The sequence below is a fragment of the Homo sapiens genome, chromosome 18, assembly GCF_000001405.40.
Source record: "Homo sapiens chromosome 18, GRCh38.p14 Primary Assembly".
Lineage (NCBI taxonomy): Eukaryota > Metazoa > Chordata > Mammalia > Primates > Hominidae > Homo > Homo sapiens.
In genome coordinates, this window is record NC_000018.10 from 71,827,792 (window position 1) to 71,848,772 (window position 20,981).

At 35.5% G+C, this 20,981-nt stretch overlaps 1 long non-coding RNA gene across 2 annotated transcripts in view; it reads left to right on the top strand.

The window, feature by feature from the left end:
* The window catches only part of LOC102725148 (uncharacterized), a 28,812-nt gene extending 17,272 nt beyond the window's left edge, over nt 1–11,540 (top strand). The window contains exons 2-4 of one of the 2 annotated variants that reach the window (XR_935616.3): nt 5,311–5,780; nt 8,964–8,992; nt 9,377–11,540. This is a non-coding gene — a long non-coding RNA (uncharacterized LOC102725148). Of the gene's footprint in view, nt 1–5,310; nt 5,781–8,963 lie in introns of both variants that reach the window. The other variant, XR_935615.3, reaches the window with a different exon arrangement.
* Nucleotides 11,541–20,981: the final 9,441 nt, after the last annotated feature.

Consider the following 20,981-nt stretch of genomic DNA (forward strand, 5'->3'; position numbering starts at 1 on the left):
GTTTGAAGATAAGGTAATTATACGTTGCTGAGCAGCTCTTGTTCTGAATGTGGTGCTCCAGACTGGTAATTCTTTTGGTTTGTTTTGTTTAATCCTGACTGATTTAATGAAAAGTTATGAGGTAGGCTGCCCCAGGGTTGGTACAGTGTCTCAGTCATGTAAACAAGGACCCAGATCTTTAAAATCTTTGCATTCTACTAACCTCCACATCCCAGCTTTTGGCTTCTATGCCCACACTTGTTTCTGACATTCACGGGAGGGCTGCTCAGCTCTAGACACCAGATTCAACGTCCGCAGCCAGAGGGTGAGGTGTCGGTAGGAATGAGGAAGAAGAACTTTTTCCTCACGTGACTATTTCACTCATCTCCCGCCCCTCAGGGAGGACTTTCTCAGAAGCCTCCAGGAGATAACCTCTTATATTTTATTGATCAGAGCTTGGTCACATGTTCATCAGTAGACAAGTCACTGGTAGAGGGCATGAGATTTTTGTGTATTGCTTTGAGTATGGCTGGACACATTGTTAACACAAGCAAAGGTGGCATTCTGTTATCAAGAAAATGGAAAAAACACTGGGCAGGCACATCCCACTCATCTAGAAATTCTTATTCAGTTCTGTAATGCCAAAGACAGCACCTCAGCCAGGTAATTCCTGATACAGAGAAGAAATGTTCAACCTCATTTTAGCAACATATTTTCTATTACTATACAGGTAAATCTCTTCCCAATGCCTAACTGAAAAAAAAAAGCAACAGAGCACAATTATATGGACACAATCCCCATTCTTCTACTCTCTGAGTCATCTTTGACCCTTTCTTTCCTAATACCTCACATACAATTATCAAGTCTTGTAGGTTCTACTCTAAGTATCACTAATATTTTGTAAACATTACTTATCTGTGGATCCAGGAAAAGTTAATGAACTCCAAAACTCAACTGTCTATACCTCTTTGACACTTTATTTAAATCTAGTATCTACTTATCTAATTTAAGGTCATTTTTCAAACTTGAGGTCTCTCCCCATCACTCACTGAGAAACACTGTTAACATCAATGTCTACATTTTTCTTTCTACTCAGTTATTTTTTCATTCCATGAGATTTAACATTCATGCCCATGACTATTGTAAAGGCTTGACCTCTCAATTTCTTGGCATCCTCATCTCCTGTGACCTGTATTTGAACTGAAACAAATTCACATATTACCTTGCCCAGAAATTTGCAACTTGCAGGTCTTGTAACATTTGGAAACATTCTCAAATATATATTCTCTATCTATGCTTTTATATTCACAGTGTCTCACTATATGTAATCTAATGATAACTATTCTATAAACTCACTAAAACCAGCCCTTCTTGTCTAATGGATGCTTTCTTTCTATATTAGCCACTTCTTTTTATTCCATGTACCTATACAATTTCATTTCTTTAATACAACATTTAATCAGATTATCTCAAATCCCCTGTGTTCCCCTAACATCATGCTGCTTTGATCATGTCTACACGAAGTCCAGCTGCCTGCTCTTTCCATGTCTATAAGATTTCAAAAGCGTGCTGCAGAAGACAAGTTTTATAACTGTGCTAAATATATCAACTATTAATCCAGTTTCCAGTTCACCCTCACTCTCAGCTGATTAATTCAAAAATCACATCAGATGAAATAGAGGCTGCAGCAGCTCAATTCTGGAACTTTTTTTTTTTTTAAATCACCCAACATAAAGCTTCCCAACATGATGTCTATTCTTTCCTTTTGTCCTCTGGTTCATATGGATGAGGTGTGTCTCTGGAGAACCAGTTTTTTGAATGTGTTATTTCTTAAAAGCATGTAGAATGTGGAGTTAGCATTGCTTTTGAATCTTGACTTTGCCAAGTCTGCCTGATGTTAAGAAATAATAATTGTTCAATGCCTCTGCTTTCTCGCCTCTAATTGTGGATAAGTGAGAAATACCATTGCTATTGCCATTGTCACCCTTTCCTGAAGTGACAACCCTTTGACAACTCCTTCTGGTAAAAACAAAGACATTCCAGGTGTCTTTCTCTTTCCTAATTCTGTCTATCTTTCCCAGACATAGTTTGACTATGATTGCTATAATTCCTTTTCAGTTTAAGGGAAGTTGAACTCTTTCCCATATAATCTTAACGCCAATTTCTGAACTATTGATTTGTACTTTTGGCTACAACGGCTTATGTGGTTTTGTAACAAAAAACAGTGATCCTGCTTCTTTGTTGTTTTACACTATTGCTGTTTTACAATTGAAACAGTTTTAAAACATGCTGTCCCTTAATCACTGAAGCACATTTTTTTTTTCTAAAACTTGACATAGCTTGTAAACTGCTTCCCACATGAGACAGGTTCAAATAGATATTTATTCAAATAAAATATAAATAAATCAATCTTATTTCAAAAAATTTAAGTTAAAAAGGCAAGTGGCAAAACCACTTTCATCATGTCAAATGATATGTAGGAAATTTAGTTTCTCATAACATTGGAGCTTATCTCAGTTACTTCAGTATGACAGGAAAAATATTTTGAACAGAAAATTCCTGCTGGGTTGCTTTTGAAGAAGGATGGACTCTCCTACCATTGTTGCTGTAGTCCCATTTATGGGCTATCCCATGAATTTGTAAGATACATGTTTTATGTGATAACAATGCTATTTAAAGTAAAAGTAATTTCATTCCTCTTCTTCTTTGTTCCATTTTTATGGATTCTTTTAATTTTAATCTAATCACATTGAAACTTTCTCGAACTACAGCTAATTTACTTCTGAAAATTTACTTAATGATTAAAGTGAAAGTGATCCAGGAAGGGGAATAAGGACAACAGAAAGTAGTGAACCCTTTCTCATTCCATCACTTATCATGGCATAAGCCTCAGAGACCAGAGAGAATGAGACTGTTCTTCACATCTTTGAGAGGCTGCTTTTCTCTGAGGACATTCAGGGCCCTTTTCCAATGAACTATTTTTTTTTTTACGGGAAGACTTTACCCATTTTTTTCATCCAAAATATTTCACTCACTGTCGAGGATTTACCTATGGATTTTATGTATATGCAATTCGTCAGTTTGAATCCACACTTCATTGCATGCTTCTCACAGATTATTCCTGGGTGCCTTGATGAAGACTAGGTTATGGCAGCATTCCACCTCTCTTTGGGAAGTGTGTGAACGATATTCTCAAGTTGTGTCACATTTTCCTTCAGTGGAATATATAATTAAAACTCTCCTTTAAACCCTAGTTTAGAATAACTGGCTCTGGTTTGTGTTAATTAAGCATTTCAAAGACTCAGGGCACTCATGGTTTGAAATCTGTGTAGATGCTGGAAGAACAATGTGGCTTAACTCCAAAATAAAAGTCAAAACTCTTGGACCATTATCAGTAGGACACAACCTGTGCCTGTAAGCTGTAGAATGCATATGCCAATATTTTTAAGAGTTTTATTACTCAACACTAAACTATTCTGTTTGTCATAGTTTTCTGACACATTTGCAAATAAAGCTAGAACAATTGGCCATTTTCCCAGTTCAGGTTTTACAACTTGGCCCAGTAGAATTAACTTCCCAGGCCATTTTCCCTTGTGATAAGCTAAATGCAAGTTGTTCAGAGGGTCTGGTAAACTCTGGTAAATATACCATTTCTCTCTTCTGATGGGTTCAGCCTCATTTATAAATACCCCTGTAATAGTTTGCTTCTGAAAAAAGATACATATTTTACATATTATGTAGTATATTATAAGGTACTTACTAAGAAGTCAGAACTAAGATTGTAAGGACTTTATAGAAATTTACTAACTTAAGCCTCATAATCAGCCTACATATTAAAAACTATCAATTTGTTTTCTTTTCATATGCATGAAATTAAAACCCAGAAATGTTTCTTACTTTCCTTTGGGGCCACAGATTATTAATAGTGTCTCCAAAACTAATAGCTGGTGGTCTTTAATCCAGTACTGTCAGTGAATTATTAGAGTCATCTTAAAAGACCTGCTACCCCACTTATAAAAGATGCTTTGTCATATGGTATTTCAAGTATAGATTTTAATTTAAATATTGTCATCTCAACCTAAGCAGTTTGTCAATTATGGTTCAACTGTCAACCATCTGTATTGACCTCAAAAATGTCACGTTTATAATTAATAGTCACCAGAGATAAGTTCAGATTTAATTGTGGGTCTCCACAATCTACATTACTGTCACCCATCCTCTGTTTCAGAGAGCTAAGTATTCATTTTAAGACGACATTTCTCTCTTATACTTTTAAAACCTGTAATACAGATATTAAAAGCATAATAATTCTATCACCTTATCAGATACTATCTTATTTCATCAATCCAGGTTTAAAACCAACTAGACTGTAGCAGTGCATGGCATGATATCACAACATGTAAAATTATAGCACCTAAGTTAATGTATGTACCATATAATAAAGGAAAATAATAATATATAGAACACGACTTGTCTATATGTCTTCTTATAGATATGTATCATTTTAATTTTATTAAATAAATTAAAATTAAGTACTTAGAATTTGTATTATTCTATTTTAATATATTGTAGGTTAACTATTGGATTCAACAAATATTTACCAAGAAATTTAAGGCACTATGTTCAGAACTGAATACCCAGTGCACTCATGAAATTTATGCTACTAGGGAAAACAGATATTACTAAAAAATGTAAAAACTCATACTTAAATATAATAAAGAGAAATACAGGGAAATATCCAATTCTACTGGGGGAATAGGCAGGGTTTTTTCGAAATCTTCCCTGAGTTGAAACATCAGTGAAGAATAGTAATTGCTGGGTGTGACGGGAGTTTCATTGGAGAAAGAATTCTGAGCAGAAGAGGCATCATATATGAAGGCTCTGAACCAAGGCGACAATTAAGAAATGGAAATAAATAAATAAATATATGTATACACACATATGTATATATACACACTTCACATGTAAAATAAATTCAATAAGCATAAAGCTAAATTTTTGACACTAAAATCTTCAGCTAATAATTATGGCAAGTAAACAGAAATGTTAAGTTTTTCATATATAGTCAACATAAGAGGTGAGATAGATCTTAGTTATTAATCGGACAATGTAGGCACACATAATTTCTCATCTTGTTAAAACATAGTTTCACTGCCCTGATCAGTTTGGTGAAGATGAAACTCATTTTTCTAGCAGCAAAAATGAGATTTTTGCTGTCTTCTCCATAAGCCTTAGTATGAAGTATTTGGCAGTCAATATGAGAGTGTTAACACTAATTCCTTGAACATCTATGCCAAAAGCGATTACCAGTGTTTCATCTTCCATTCTCAGGTCTGGTCCTCATCAAGAACCCAGTGTTCCCACCCGAGATGGAGACGTGAATAATCTTCCTAAGCCTAATCCTGCCAGAAGCGTGAAGCAAGGGGGAATTTGGAAGGCGGAACAGGAAAGAGTGGAAGTTTAGTTTACCGCTCTCCAAAATAGAAGCTCTTTTCCCTGAGATAGAAGCAAGATGCTGCAAGAGAAAGGGTCAGAGAAACTGGATTCAATTTTAATTTAGCCTGGATGCTGAAATAACCCTATCTCTACTAAATGCCAAATCTTCACATTCTCTTGGCCAACAAAGTGACTCCAGTGTTGCCACGGCAACCGTCTGTGGGTAGGCATGAAGGACAGCACCTCACCTTAGCTGCAGCAGCCCACACACACAGCTCACTTTCTGCCTGGACTCCTCTGCCTGCAGCTGGTATCGGGCCTGTTGGAATTTGCTCATCCATTTCATCGTGGGCCAGTGTGAAATGGTGAGGGAATTGAACAGCGTCACGAGAATCCGTGGATGAGTACCTATTCTTTCCCATCTGGAGTATATTCTTTTATTTATTTATTTATTTATTTATTTATTTATTTATTTATTTATTTATTGAGTCTCACTCTGTCCCCCAGGCTGGAGTGCAGTGGCACGATCTCCGCTTACGGCAACCTCTGCCTCCTGGGTTCAAGCAATCCTCGTGCCTCTGCCGCCCGAGTAGCTGTGGTTACAGGCTCGCGCCAACACACCTAGCTGATTTTTTTTTTTTTTTTTTTTTTTTTGAGACGGAGTCTCACTCTGTCGCCCAGGCTGGAGTGTAGTGGCGCGATCTCCGCTCACTGCAAGCTCTGCCCCCCGGGTTCACGCCATTCTCCTGCCTCAGCCTCCTGAGTAGCTGGGACTACAGGCGCCCGCCACCACGCCCGGCTAATTTTTTGTAATTTTAGTAGAGACGGGGTTTCACCGTGTTAGCCAGGATGGTCTCGATCTCCTGACCTCGTGATCCGCCCTCCTCGGCCTCCTAAAGTGCTGGGATTACAGGCGTGAACCACCACGCCCTGCCTGGAGTATATTCTATACAGCATCTCAGAGGGCTTCCAGAGGGAGTGCAGTCCACTTGTCCACAGAGATGCTCATTTTGTCCTACATGATAAACCCCAGGAGAAATGACTCCAAAAAAGATATCCTTCCCTTTTCCATAACATTCTTCCTAGATTCACATACCTTTTCCCGATAGCATTTCTTAAAATAAAGCCCCTGCACACATGTGAAGAAAGCACTCAGTATGTAACATGAAGATCATTCAGGATTAAATACATTATCATTAGTATTATCATTAATATGTCCTAGAAAAAATGGTAAATTCTTTGTAAGAAATCTGAACTTGATACAGTCTTACACAGAGAAATAAATAGATATTAATAAAAAAGATCTGTTTAGTAGGTGACCATTCATTATCATGCACCATAATAATTTTTCAACTAATTCAGAAACTTCACAATCACATCACTATTACATGATATAAATGTAATTTATGTCTCCAAATCCCAATTTGTTCTTTCTGAATATATACAAACCCAATAAATCCATTGATAATTTTATAGAAAACTGGGATTCAGAACTATTACTGTTAAAAGATGCAAAAATACAATGTGCTAGGTTTCTCTTACCGCAAACCTTTGCGTTTCCATCCATTCAATTTAATCCACCACGAGTCTTTACATCAGGTCAACACTTTAATCCAAGATCACAAAGTAACTAGTTCTCATCCTCAAAGTATGAGCCCTGTTTCAAGAAAGTCACACATGGAAATGGGAAAAACAAAAAAACAAAAACCCATAAATAATAGAGCAAAAATCAGCAGAAAAGCAGACAAAAATTGTTGAATACAGATGAAAACGACCAAATACCTGGCTATAATTTACTATCATCTTCCTCATAAATACAAATTCAAAATTGATAGCATAATCTTCTCAAATTTTATTTACAATCTGGTGTATATCATCACATTACATTATCTCTAAAGTAAAAGTATATGATTCTCAACCTAGAGTATTTTCTAGTAGCAGCACACTGCTGCTATAATAAATACGTACCTATTTTGTGATTATTAGTTTAATGCGTGTGTCTTCAACTAGGGTGTGTTTTGTGAGGTCAAGGTTTATGTTGATTTTGTTCACCATTAAATCTTCAGAATATATATGATTTAACAGACAATGTGATGGTTAATACTGTCAACTTGATTAGATTGAAGGATACAAAGTATTGAACCTGGGTGTGTCTGTATGGGTGTTGCCAAAAGAGATTAACATTTGAGTCAGTGGGCTAGGGATGGCAGATCCACCTTTAATCTGGTGGGCACAATCTAATCAGCTTCTAGCAAATGTAAAGCAGGCAGAAAAACGTGAAAAGGCGAGATTGGCCTAGCCTCCCAGCCTACATCTTTCTCCTGTGCTGGAGGCTTCCAGCTCTCAAACATTGGACTCAGTTCTTCAGTTTTGGGACTGGGACTTGCTCTTCTTGCTCCTCTGCATGAGGACAGCCTAATGTGGGACCTTGTGATCGTATAAGTTAATACTTAATAAACTCTCTCTCTCTCTCTCTCTCTTTATATATATATATATATCCTGTAAGTTCTGTCTCTCTAAGAGAACCCTCGTACAGTCAGTAAATGTATGTTTACAGAAGGAATGTGTGTTAGCATCGCCAGTAAATCTTACATTGTTTTAACAGTTTATGATAGAAGAAGAATAATTTTTGGCTGTCTTTATAAATTGAAATCCAGAAATTAAAATTTTAGCACTAAAATTAGGCCAATCGACTTAAGACCCAACTTTATGAAATTTTGTTTCAAGAAATCATTTTTTTTCTGCTCATGGCATGTCTTACATTAGCATTACCAGTATTTCAGAATAAATTTTAAACTATATTTGTCTCAATTAAGTTTTAAAAATATACACACATATACAAACACACATTCCTGGATTTTCAGCTTGGGGGTTGTAACATGTGATTATATAAAACTGAGTTTTTATCACCAAAGTAAGTTAAATTTGAAATAAATTTATGAAGAAACTCTCATATATAAACCACCATTAATTAGACAAAACTAAGTATGTCAGTTCCAGATGCCTAGTTAATTACTTGACTTTTGGATCCCAAAAAGTATTAGACACTTGTATAAGCAGCAGAAAAAACATATGGAGGAAACCTTAGAGATCATGTGCTGGCAACGTTTTTTCCCAATGCAATTTTCATAATTATTTCTAAGGAAACACCATTTGACTAACTGTTACTTGGTAAAATTATAATGTATAGGGGAAAGATGGATTCTGGATGCCGACTGATCTGGCTTTGAAATTATTTTCCTATCTAACATTACATTAGACAAATAACGTTTGTCTCATTAGGCATCAATTGCCAATATGTTATATGAAAATAATATTCTCTAAGCTATTGAAAATCTAATGATAACAATATATGAGTAGGTTCTAGCATATTCTGTCGTATACAATAGATGGTCAACAAATACCATTCATTTATTTAATACTACAGCAGTGGTTCTCAAAGTGTTGTGTGGGGATGCCTGATGATCCATGCCCTCTTTTAAAGGATTGTACTACTTTCATACTAACCTGCTTGCTATGTGAATTTTTCTACTCTCTTTTTTCCACAGGCACAGTGGAGTTTCTTTGAGGCTACATGGTGAGAGAAGATGTCACCGCTCTGACTGACATACATAATGATGTGTGTGTGTGTGTGTGTGTGTGTGTGTGTGTGTGTTTAGTTTTAATTTCAAGTATGGGAAATATAAAGAGATATAATATTTTAAAAACCAATGGTTTGGTGGCTGTCAATATTCTTTAAGACTGCAAAAGTGTTCAGAGACAGAATTTTGAGACTAGAACACTGTATCAGAATTTTGAGACTGAAACAGTGTCCTGTACATTCAGAGTTGAAGACACTCCCATGAGCACTAGATATGAATGTGGGTGGATAGGCCATGACAGCAAATGGCCCTGCCTTTATTACCTGACTCACTTGTACCACAATAGTCCCAACATCACTCACTCCTCATTTATTCTTTAGGGAACTATTTGAACTCTTTCAGAAGACGGACTCCTCGATAAAGCAGTAGTACTCCTGTTTCCAACATTTCACATTATTGTAAGTTGCATTACAGTGAACAGAATTTTATTGAAGCACAAGGGCTATATTTCAGGTTCTACTGAGTGTATCATTTTGTTTTGTCAGACACTTTTATGGATAATTATGGATGAAAATTTATAAAAAATCTAAAAGTCATCATTGACTCTTTTCTCGCTTAACCTGCGTAATCAATTGGTCGAGTCCTATTGATTTTTCTCCTCAATAGCTCTCCAATTTCTCTTCTTCTCTGTGTCTCCACCGCATCAATATAGTTCAAGCAACCATCACTCTCCCCTAATTCATTAGAGCAGCATTCTACCTGTCACCAATCCACTGGGATGAATTCAAAGGAACTGATCTTAGTATTTCATTTCAACAATTGTCTTCTTGAAATACTGTTAAAAATATTGTCATTTTTTGCTTTGCCCCCACTCCTGGGTGGGCCAAACTCTCAATGAATCATGACATTGAACCCTGCTTGGAATGGGTTGTTCAGCAGTGCATAGAAGGTGCCTGACAGCTGTGTGCATCAATCCAGATCCTTTCAGTCTGTGCCTTGCACCGAGTCTGCATACATCTAGATAAAATGAATCTGTCAGCCTACTTTGACAATAAAATGATGGGGATATGAAAAGCTGAATTAAATCTAAGACCAGGTGAATTCTGAGAGAAGTCAGGATAGAGAATAACCATCATAGAGATAGGAAATCTTAGACTATTCCAATTCTGAATTCTAATAAATGTAGCTAAAAAACATCAGATTAAAAGTGTTTGTCAGGTATGTGTCTTGGAACTAAAGGTATTTTCCATGTTAAATATAATTAAATGATCTACAGAATAAAAGAATGTCTCAAAAATATTTATCAATATTTCCTATCAGAGAAATGTTACTTATAAATATTTATTATATTTTGGATAATAAATGAGTATAAAAGGTGACTTAAGGAGTATGTTTCTCTCTATCAAATTAATAATGTGTAAATTATATAAGCAATTGTTTAAAAATTTTTTTTTCAATGGATAAATAAAATATATATTTTTTCAATGGATAAATAAAATATTTTAAAAGGTAAATTAGTAACTTACACAAATAATCATACTGATTAGTTTAAGCATTCATTAGAAAAATTACTTCTGAGGCTTTCATAAAAAAAATACTGTGTTATTCAACATACCTTTACATACCATTTATTATTAGTGTCAATGATATAACTTTCAATTAGACCTAGCTATGTTCTTGAAGGACTTCATGGTCCCTTAGCAGAACACGAGGCAATAATGATCACTTTCTGGGAAAAACTACACTAGGAAAATGTGAGAATCTGATGCACTAAGCTATCCTAGCTTTTGGGATATGCACTGTCTAGCATTATCAGCATTGTTGGTGAGATCTCACTAACATGCAGACGTGTGAAAAGTAAAATCACATTTTGTCCTAGTAGAGATACAAATTGGATTTTTTTTCCCCAGTAAGTAATCTGAATGAAATATTTCTGAAATTAAAACCTCAAATGTAAAGGAGGATAAATGGGTCTTATTTTATTTAATTTATTTATTTTTTTGTAGCCAGTTTGGAACAGAGCAGTTAGTTTATGGCTTAAGACTGTATAACATCTTGAAGGACTGATTTTCAGTAAATGTACATGATATAGGACTGTATACAACTCTTCAAAATACAAATATTTCAACACTGTCAATTAAATAAAACCTGCAACAATTGATAAGAAAAAGTCTCATTTTAAAAATTCCAGGTTGCGTATCAAAGCAAGATGCTATACTCTTTTTTTGGAGCCTCTTCAATTCTAAGGAGTCCTAGGGTCACTTAATGGAACTCTACACTTAGCAAGCTGTTAAAATTTCTTCTTCCTTAGTAACTGAGCAGCAAACGTCCTACTTGGTTTGATCTGAGCAGCATAAATGAATATAAAAAACGAGAGGGAACAAATCTTTAAAAGATCTAATAATATCAAAATATGGTTATGCTGTACGAAAGTTATCTAGTTCTTTAGTGATATGTTTTACTCCTATTGTAATCAAGTTATGAATCATACATCTAACTAGATCTATGTAAACTGGTAAATATAATAAATGGTTTTACCTTGAACTTATTAGACAATGTCCTAGTGATTTTCTAACGATACATATTGTAACAAAATTCCTATAGAAAGACACACCCTTGGTGTTCATCAAAAATGTTTTGGTTCTGTAATGTCAAAGCAGATTACTTTCCCAACATAAATATTATTTTCACAATGCTTCTAAAAGGTACAGAACATGTCTATAAGGGATAAAGAATGAGGAGGTTATTTGCAGTAAATCACTCATTTTAGTGCCAATTTAAATAAACTTCAAGGAGGAAAGATGAATTCACACTGCAGTTACCTTTTTTATCTTGGACCTCATGTTTTTCATTTTATTTTCTATTTTTTAAGATAATTAGTTCTCATCCTACTCTAAATGCGGAGGGAGGGAGCTAATAAATAGATCCTGAAGAACAAGAGGACCAGTAATGGGAAGTGTCATGCTGCTTGCCTGTTTCCGAAGTACTGTTTTATTTTATTTATTCTTTCAGTCCCTGTCTTTCTGACACTTTTTACATCAAGAAAATACCGTGACTAATACTGAGAAATTGGAAGAAATTTTTTTAAGGACAGTGAAGTATGACGCATAATAAATCTCAGAAAACTGTGGAGCCGTAAACGAATCAACACGATATTCTGGATATGTCTACACTCTTAACTGCTGCTGAAAAATTCTTATTAATAAGGACGCAACTTACCAAATCACATGCTGCAACTGAAATTTCAACAATTAAGGCCACTTTTTTGGTTATCAGAATAATAAACTCAGATGGAGATACTATATTAACATAGCTTTAGTCAGGCATGGTGGCTCCTGCCTATAATCTCAGCAATTTGGGAGACTGAGGAGGGCAGATGGTTTGAGGTCAGGAGTTCAAGACCAGACTGGCCAAGATGGTGAAACCCCGTCTCTACTAAATACACAAAAAATTAGCCAGGCATGGTGGCAAGCACCCGTAATCCCAGCTACTCTAGAGGCTGAGGCAGGAGAATTGCTTGAGTCTGGGAGGTGGAGGTTGCAGTGAGCTGAGATTGCGCCACTGCATTCCAGCCTGAGAGACCGACTGAGACTCTGTCTCAAAACAAACAAACAAACAAAAACAAAGAAAACCCCAATAAACATAGCCTCTACTGTTAGCCTAAGTTTTTTTAAAAAATTGTGATTGCTGTCACTGGGGAGCAACCCATGTCCCAAGAAAATTATATGTGTATAATGCTGATAAGTATCATTGAACTACAAAAGGAATTTTGAGAAAATAAGGTATGATGAGGGAGAGGGCACTTCAGAGAACCCAGAAGATGAAAACATTGTCAAGACAAATCTCTACAAATGATTTTACCCAGAGCTAATTCTACATCTCAGAAAGAAAACAACGGTTTGAATAAAAAGCAATATTATACATAATTTAAAAGCTCTTAGTTCCTTGGAATGGATCTACATTCAATCTCTTAGAATTTGTAAGTCATAATGCACTATATATAGTATTGGCTACCATTGCAAAGATTAATCATAATTTTATAACTTTTCAGTATATAATTAAAATATAAATACATCTTCCAAAATTTCTAATTGAGCCTTTTATTATCTATTTTCAAAAACATCTGCATATTATTATTAAATGTAGCAAAATAATGTAAATTGTTATCATGACATTTGATACCTTCCATGATCTGGTCTTTGCCCACGTTTTAAACTTTCACATGCTGCTTCCCACATAGATGTTTCCCCTCTCTCTATTCAGGACAATCTAAATAATTCCATTTCTAAGTTATGGCAGTTTGTTTCATTGCTATAAAAATCTAGTCAAGGTATTACCTCTTCTTAAAATCTCTCCTGTATTCTGGCTGCCACAAAATACCTCATTATCTTTAAAGTGTTAGCAGGTCTCTTTGCTGTAAATCCTATTCTGACCCTGATGCATGAACTGACCATTATCTTTAATTAATCCTCTCCCTATCCCTGACACATATCATGGTGAGTACCATATTCAATTTCACTTCATTGCTTAAATGTTGGTCTCTTCTTAATAAACTGCAACTAAGGCAGGGATAATATCAAATTCAACTGTGTAAATCCAGTATATAGTGCCCTGTCTCATAGAAATGAAGTCCTCAAGAGATGTCGCATGAGTTGAAAATAATAGATAAGATACTAAATAGGTTGACAATAGATAGGACAGTGAGTGGTTGAGAGCTGGAACTCTAGATTTAGAGCTATGAATCCAAGTGTGTGTGCCCTTAGAGAGTTAAATACTATTTCAAACATTGGGCAATATAGGTAGTGAGATAGTGCATGCAAAATAGTTTTCAGGGAAAATAGCTTAAGGTAAGTCTTAAGTAATATTATATTACTATGATGAATTAACAGTATAATTATCTGCACTATTTCTATAAACTAGTGGTCATAAATTACAACCAAGGGCTAAGAATGTATGATCTCTTTCAAATTCTTGATTCATGTTGCAAATAGCAATTATCTGACAGCTGCATTGAATGTTGCCATCAAAGCCACTGCTAAGACTCAGGGATGAGTTACCTTATCCTTAGCCACTTAATCAAAATTCAGACATGGGAGACAGCATGTGTTGGGCATTACTGTGACCCGCCTGCCTCCCGCCTCCCATCTATCATTTATTTTCCTGGAAATTGAGCAAGGGAAGGATCCGGCACTTTTGTGATTCCATAGAGGAAGGATAGCAAATGGGATAAACAGTCACCAAATACAACACAGAACCAGAAAGAAACAACTTCCCTCAGATGAAACTTGATACCTTTGTGAAATATGAGTACTGTATACACTAGACAACACATAAAGGCAAATATCTACTATATTGACAAAATAAGGAAGTCTCATGGAGAATTTTTATCCTATTATTTTAAAATATAAATAAATTAGAAATTTTATGATAGTTTTTAAAATATCTATTTTTATACACATATTTATTGACTATGTAAGACATTTTATTGGAATATATGAATTTTTTTTTTTGAGATGGAGTCTCACACTGTTGGCTGGGCTAGAGTGCAGTGGCACAATCTCAGCTCACTGCAACCTCAGCCTCCCAGGTTCAAGCGATTCTCCTGCCTCAGCTTCCCTAGTAGCTGGCATTACAGGCACCCGCCACCACACCCAGCTAATTTTTTGTACTTTTAGTAGAGACGGGGTTTCATCATGTTGGCCAGGCTGGTCTCGAACTCCTGACCTTGTGATTCGCCCGCCTCGGCCTCCCAAAGTGCTGGGATTACAGGTGTGAGCCACCACGCCTGACCAAAAAATATTTTATGTTTATTTACACAATGTAGCAAAATGGAAGCATGGCTTTATATAAATATTAAGGAAATGAACAGTTAAAATTTAGGAAGTAGAGAAGGTTAACTTAGAGATAAGATTCTGTAGAATAAACTGGTATAAATCAATCTGAATTTGTTATTCTGGCCTGTCAAAATAAAGAGATAATTAAAAATCATCGTAAGAATTTCATGTGACTAACGTAAGTATATATTTTCATCGAAATAAGAAACCGTATGTTTGAGGAATAAACTCAATCTGACATTCCAAGAGCCAGGAATTTCAAGCCTCAGGCTTTTTTGCAAGAGATAGTCCGTTCCACCTGTAAGAGAGTGTTAATCAAGGAAAGGAAAGCAGCCAAAGAGAGATAACATTTACAAGTACAATTTCATACATTAGGAAGTTTCCTCTTGGCCTTTTCAAACATATGGATGTAAAAAGGGATGATACAATTTTAGTCATTCAACTAATCTTAGATATAAGATAGTATCTCAACAACACATTTGCTTTACCATTAAGCTTTTCCTAAAATTTATTTTGCTTAGTGTAGAAAAATGTCTTAGACTTTTCCCCAATAGCATCAAATGATGCTCTCTAAATATCCAAACAAGGAGAAACTGGCTAAATAATTTATGGGACATTAAAAAACTAGAAAATTACTATGGATATAGGTTTAGAAACTAGTTACATGAATATATGCTAACCTTAAAATATTTAAAATAAACATTACAGAATTATATATATATAATATGTATAATCCATAATATATATTATGCATTGAAGATATGTACTTGAGCTTACATATTTTTAACTGCTCACAATTATCTGAAAGATCATGTATTGTCTTAAGGCAAGAGAATAAAACTCAATTTTATTAAAAAGGTAAGTTTCTAAGCAAGTTAAAACATATGAATTAATTTTATACTATGATGGTCTAAGCTTGTTTAACACATGAAAAATATATACAAGTTTTAAATAGATTGCTTCTCTTAACATTGGGACTCTTATAACTATTATTACAAATGAAGTGTTTTGATTTTAAATTATTTTCACCATATCTAAGTAAACCAAACTTTAAGCACAGTCTTCTGAACAATTTCTTTAAGCAAATCTCATGAGGAATTATTAGCCAGAACTTCATATATGAGTTTATTTTCCCTATAAAACAAAACAATCAGTAAAATCTTAGTGAATTAAAGTAAGCTAATTTATATAGAATTATTTTACAGAATTCCATTTTAATTTTTAGATTTAAGCATACTAACCCTCAAATTGAAAGGACTGCTAGTTTGTAAAATACTGTAAAATGACACCATTATTGCAAACACTATTTTCTGTAGACATTATTTGCCGCTCAGAAATGTTTTTAAACAGTAGCTTAAAGTTTACAGTGCCCAAAGCACAAATATATATGTTCATAGGCAAATATTTTTTCAAGATGAGTAGCTTTTGTTATAAAAAAATTTAAGTTAGTTCTATATTTTTCAGCCTCTAAATTTTATTGAATTTCCTCAAATACCTGGACCATGATTTTAGACTTTAGCTAGCCTACTGTGGGATCTAGAAAAATTACTTAACCTTGATAAAAATCAGTTTCCTCCCTCTAACATGGGAGTAACAAACTGATATGCAAAAGACCTATGGGGATTAAATTAGTTGAATACATGCAAAAAGTGTTTATCAGATTGGCCAGAAGATTGTTAGGATCCAGAAAGTAAATTGGCTGTTGATAATGTCATTATCATGATCATCATTATTATTTAGGAGACGCTACAATTACTCAATCTAATTCTCATCTGTAAATATGAGTTTTGAGTAAGGTATACTTGGTGTCTTTTCCTATAATAAGCTGTCTACAATTTAATGTTAATTACATTTTCTGCAATAGAAAACATTTTCTGAATATTAAAGGAAAAGAGTGTGTATTCAATCACACTCAAAACAGTGGAAGGTGGGCAGCTATTTTCAGAGGCTGAGCAGGCTTTATGCCTAAGCTCTGAATCTAAAAGAGAACAAAAATATCTTTTTCTCTGTAAATGAATATTTCTCTAGTCTTTGATAAAGAAAAGTACAATTAAGCCTTATTTAAAAGTTAATTTTCATGATGGAAACAATGAAAGTTAAAGACTCTCACCTCATTACTGTTGAAAAGAAGAAACTCATAAACATAACATTTAATTCAGTGTAATAAAATCGGAAGGGATCTTTTCTTCAAGACTGAGAAAAGTCACCAATATCTACCGAAAAGATGGAGTACTTCCATTAAATCTATTTGTTTCAATAAGAGGAGATTATACAGTGACCTTTTCTGTAGCTGCCTTGGTTTCTCCATTTTTAATCATTATGCAAGATTCGGTAGAAATTCTTGCTGACAGTTTGCTCTTCCGGGGGCAATTAAGAGAGCAGTGAATTCACTGGAAACTGAAAATCATTTCACTTTACTACTGAAAATGACAGGAGAGAGGCCCACATACTCGCACTGTCAAAGAACTCTTCCAATGTTAAATAACACAAGAATCCAGAAAGTTGTTCTTAAGGAAAATTGCATATTGCAAAGAACGTACTAAAAAATACATCACAAATAGAATGACTGTTAATAGTTATAATTAATGTTATATTATATTATACAAAATATAGAGCCATAGTCCTATATTTATTATTTTGTATATTTGTATAAATTTGTTCCTGGAAAATCTGCTATATTGGTTTTTGTCTACCTTGCTCTATTTTATACTTCAGATATAGTTTTTCTAAGGATTTCATTATTCATAGCTGAAAAACCAATAACTGCACTAATATGTTTAACCAAAGCAAATTAATATGAACAAAACCATTACAGTGATTATTTATGGAGTATTTGCATATGTTTTCAAAAAAATATTTCAGAGTAAGATGTAATCTTAAAGACTTTATTTTTTTTTTACTCAGCCCGTTTTTTATTGGACATTATTATACTTTTTGTGCTGTAAGAATATTTATAACAATCTGAGGTGAATGACTTTGAGCTAAAACCTTAGATACATATCTGATTTTCTCCTTTACCAAAAATTTCTAAAAATATATAACTGATCAAAGGGCAAGGAGACTTTCGCAAGGTTTTCAGCAATATTGCGATATTGTTAGCACCAGTTTGCACCACCATGAACATTATGCAGGCATGCCTTTATTATTTTTGAATTACATATATTTAATGTGTACAACATGAAGTTTTGATACACATATACATAGTGAAATTTTAGATCATGCAAAAGAAAAATCCATCAGCTCACATAGTAACTGTGTGTGTGTAGGTGGGGGTGTGAAAGTCAATGTGTGTGGTAAGAGCACCTAAAATCTTCTCTTAGCAAATCTCAGGTGTACAATATTTTAAACGGTAGTCTTTATTTATAGATTAAATCTTCATACTTATCCAACCCACATCACTGCAACTTTTACCTTGTGACTTACATCTCCACATATTCCTAATTCCCTTCCCTCCCTGCCCCTGTTAACTATTGTTTCATTCTCTGTCTCTATGTATTAAACCTTTTTTTTGTTTGTTTTAGATTCCACATATAAGTGGCATCATGCAGTATTTTTCTTTCTATTTCTGGCTTGTTTAACTTAGCATAATGTCCTTCGGTTTCATCCATGATTTTGTAAATGGCAGAATTGTTTTCTTTTTTGTCTGAATAGTATTCAGTGTTTGTGTGTGTATATGTGTGTGTAAATATATACACCACATTTTCTTTATCCATTTATCTGCCTAGAGATATTCAGGCTGTTTTCATATCTCAGAAATTTTGAATAATGCTGCAATGAATATGAAAGTGACGTTTTCTCTTCAACACATTGATTTAATATCTTTTGAATATATACCCAGTAGTAGGATTGCTGGATCACTGGAGTTCTGTTTTTTAATTTTTTGAGGAATTTTTATCCTGTTTTCCGCAATGACTATTGCAAGGTACATTTCCATAACAGTGTAGGGGTTCCCTTTCCTCCTCATTCTCACCAAAACTTGTTATCACTTTCTTCTTCATATAAAATGTTATTTATTCCGAGTGTGTACCACCAGAGGCTGTAAGAAACAACCACCTCCACCCCGAAATCTTGGCAGCTGAACACAGCAAAGATTGCTGTTTATCTTATATTGATGTCCAATGAAGGATGACAAATGGGATTCTTTCCATCCTGTGGTTTCTTTGTCCATTAAGTCCCCTGATTTTCCTATTAGCTCTTCTGCATCAGAGAGGGGAAATGGGGTGAGAAAAGAGGACTGTGCAATGAGCAGTTTAGAGGCCAGGCTTGGAGACTGCACATGCCTTTCTCCTTGCATCCAGAAATCAGATCTCCAGCTCCACTTAATAATCATCAGCGAAATACATGGGATTGACCTTTTCCCAGAAAGAAGATAATGAACACAGTTGTTAGTGAATATTAGTGTGATATGGCTTGGCTGTGTCCTCACCCAACTCATCTTGAACTGTAGTTCCCATAAGCCCTACGTGTCATTGGAGGGACTGGTGGAAGATAATTAATCATGAGAGTGGTTCCCTCCATGCTATTCTCGAGATAGTGAGTAAGTTCTCATGAGATCTGATGGCTTTATAAGGGGCATCCCCATTTTCTCAGTTCTCATTCTTCTCTCTACTGCTGCCATGTGAAGAAGGACATGTTCACATCTGCTTTCACCATGATTATAAATTTCCTGAGGCCTCCCCAGGGATGCTGAACTATTAGTCAATTAAATCTCTTTCGTTTATGAATTTCCCAGTGCCCAAGGCCATGGGAGCCCACCTCTTGCATCAGTGTGACCTGGATGTGTGACATGGAGTCAAAGGAGATCATTTTGGAACTTTAAGGTTCCAAACGGTCCTTTTGGATTTTAGACTTGAATAGGGCCTGTAGTCTCTTGTTTTGGCAAATTTTTCCCATTGGGTGTATTTGCCCAATGCCTGTTCCCCTACTGTATCTAGGAAGTAACTAACTTGCTTTTCATTTTGTGGGCTCATAGGCGGAAGGGACTTGGCTTGTCCGACCTTGGACTTGGACTTTTGAGTTAATGCTGAAATGAGTTGAGACTTTAAAGGACTGTTGAAAAGGTATGATTGTGTTTTAAAATGTGAGGACATGAGATTTTGGTGGGCCTAGGGGTGCAATGATACGGTTTGGCTGGTCCTCACCTAAATTACATTTTATTTCATTTTTTATTTTTATTTTTTCAAGATGGAGTCTTACTCTGTCACCCAGGCTGGAATGCAGTGGTACAGTCTTGGCTCACTACAACCTCTGCCTCCTGGGTTCAAGCAATTCTGCCTCAGCCTCCCGAGTAGGTGAGATTACAGGCACATGCCATCATGCCCAGCTAATTTTTGTATTCTTAGTAGAGACAGGGTTTCACCATGTTGACCAGGCTGGTCTCGAACATGTGACCTCATGATCCACCCTCCTCAGTCTCCCAAAGTGCTGGGATTACAGGCATGAGCCACCATGCCCGACCTCTAAATTACATTGTAAATTATAGTTCCCATAATCCCCACGTGCTGTGGGAGGAGCCTGGTGGGGGGTAATTGAATCTTGGGGGTGGTTTCCCCCATGCTATTCCCATGATAGTGAGTGAGTTCTCCTGAGATCTGATGATTTTATGAAGGGCTTCCCCCTTCAATTGGTTCTCATTCTCTCTCCTGCCACCATGCAAAGAAGGGCGTGTTTGCTTTCACTTCTGCCATGAGTGTAAGGTTCCTGAGGCCTCCCCATCCATGCTGAACTATGAGTCAACTAAACCTCTTTCCTTTATAAATTACCCAGTCTCAGGCATGTCTTTATTAGTAGTTTGAGAATTAATACTGCATATTGGTACCACAGAGAGTGGGGTGCTGATATAAAGATACTCAAAAATGTGGAAGCAACATTAGAACTGGGTAACATGAGAGGTTGGAACAGTTTGGGGGGCTCAGAATAAGATGGGAAAATGTGGGAAAGTTTGAAACCTCCTAGACTTGGAGGGCTCAGAAAACAGGAAGATGTAGTGAGGTTTGGAACTTCCTGGAGACTTGTCAAATGGCTTTGACCAAAATGCTGAGAGTGATATGGATAATAAAGCCCAGGCTGAGGTGGTCTCAGATGGAGATGAGGAACTTGTTGGGAACTGGAGTATAGGTTACTCTCACTATGCAAAGAGACTGGCAGTATT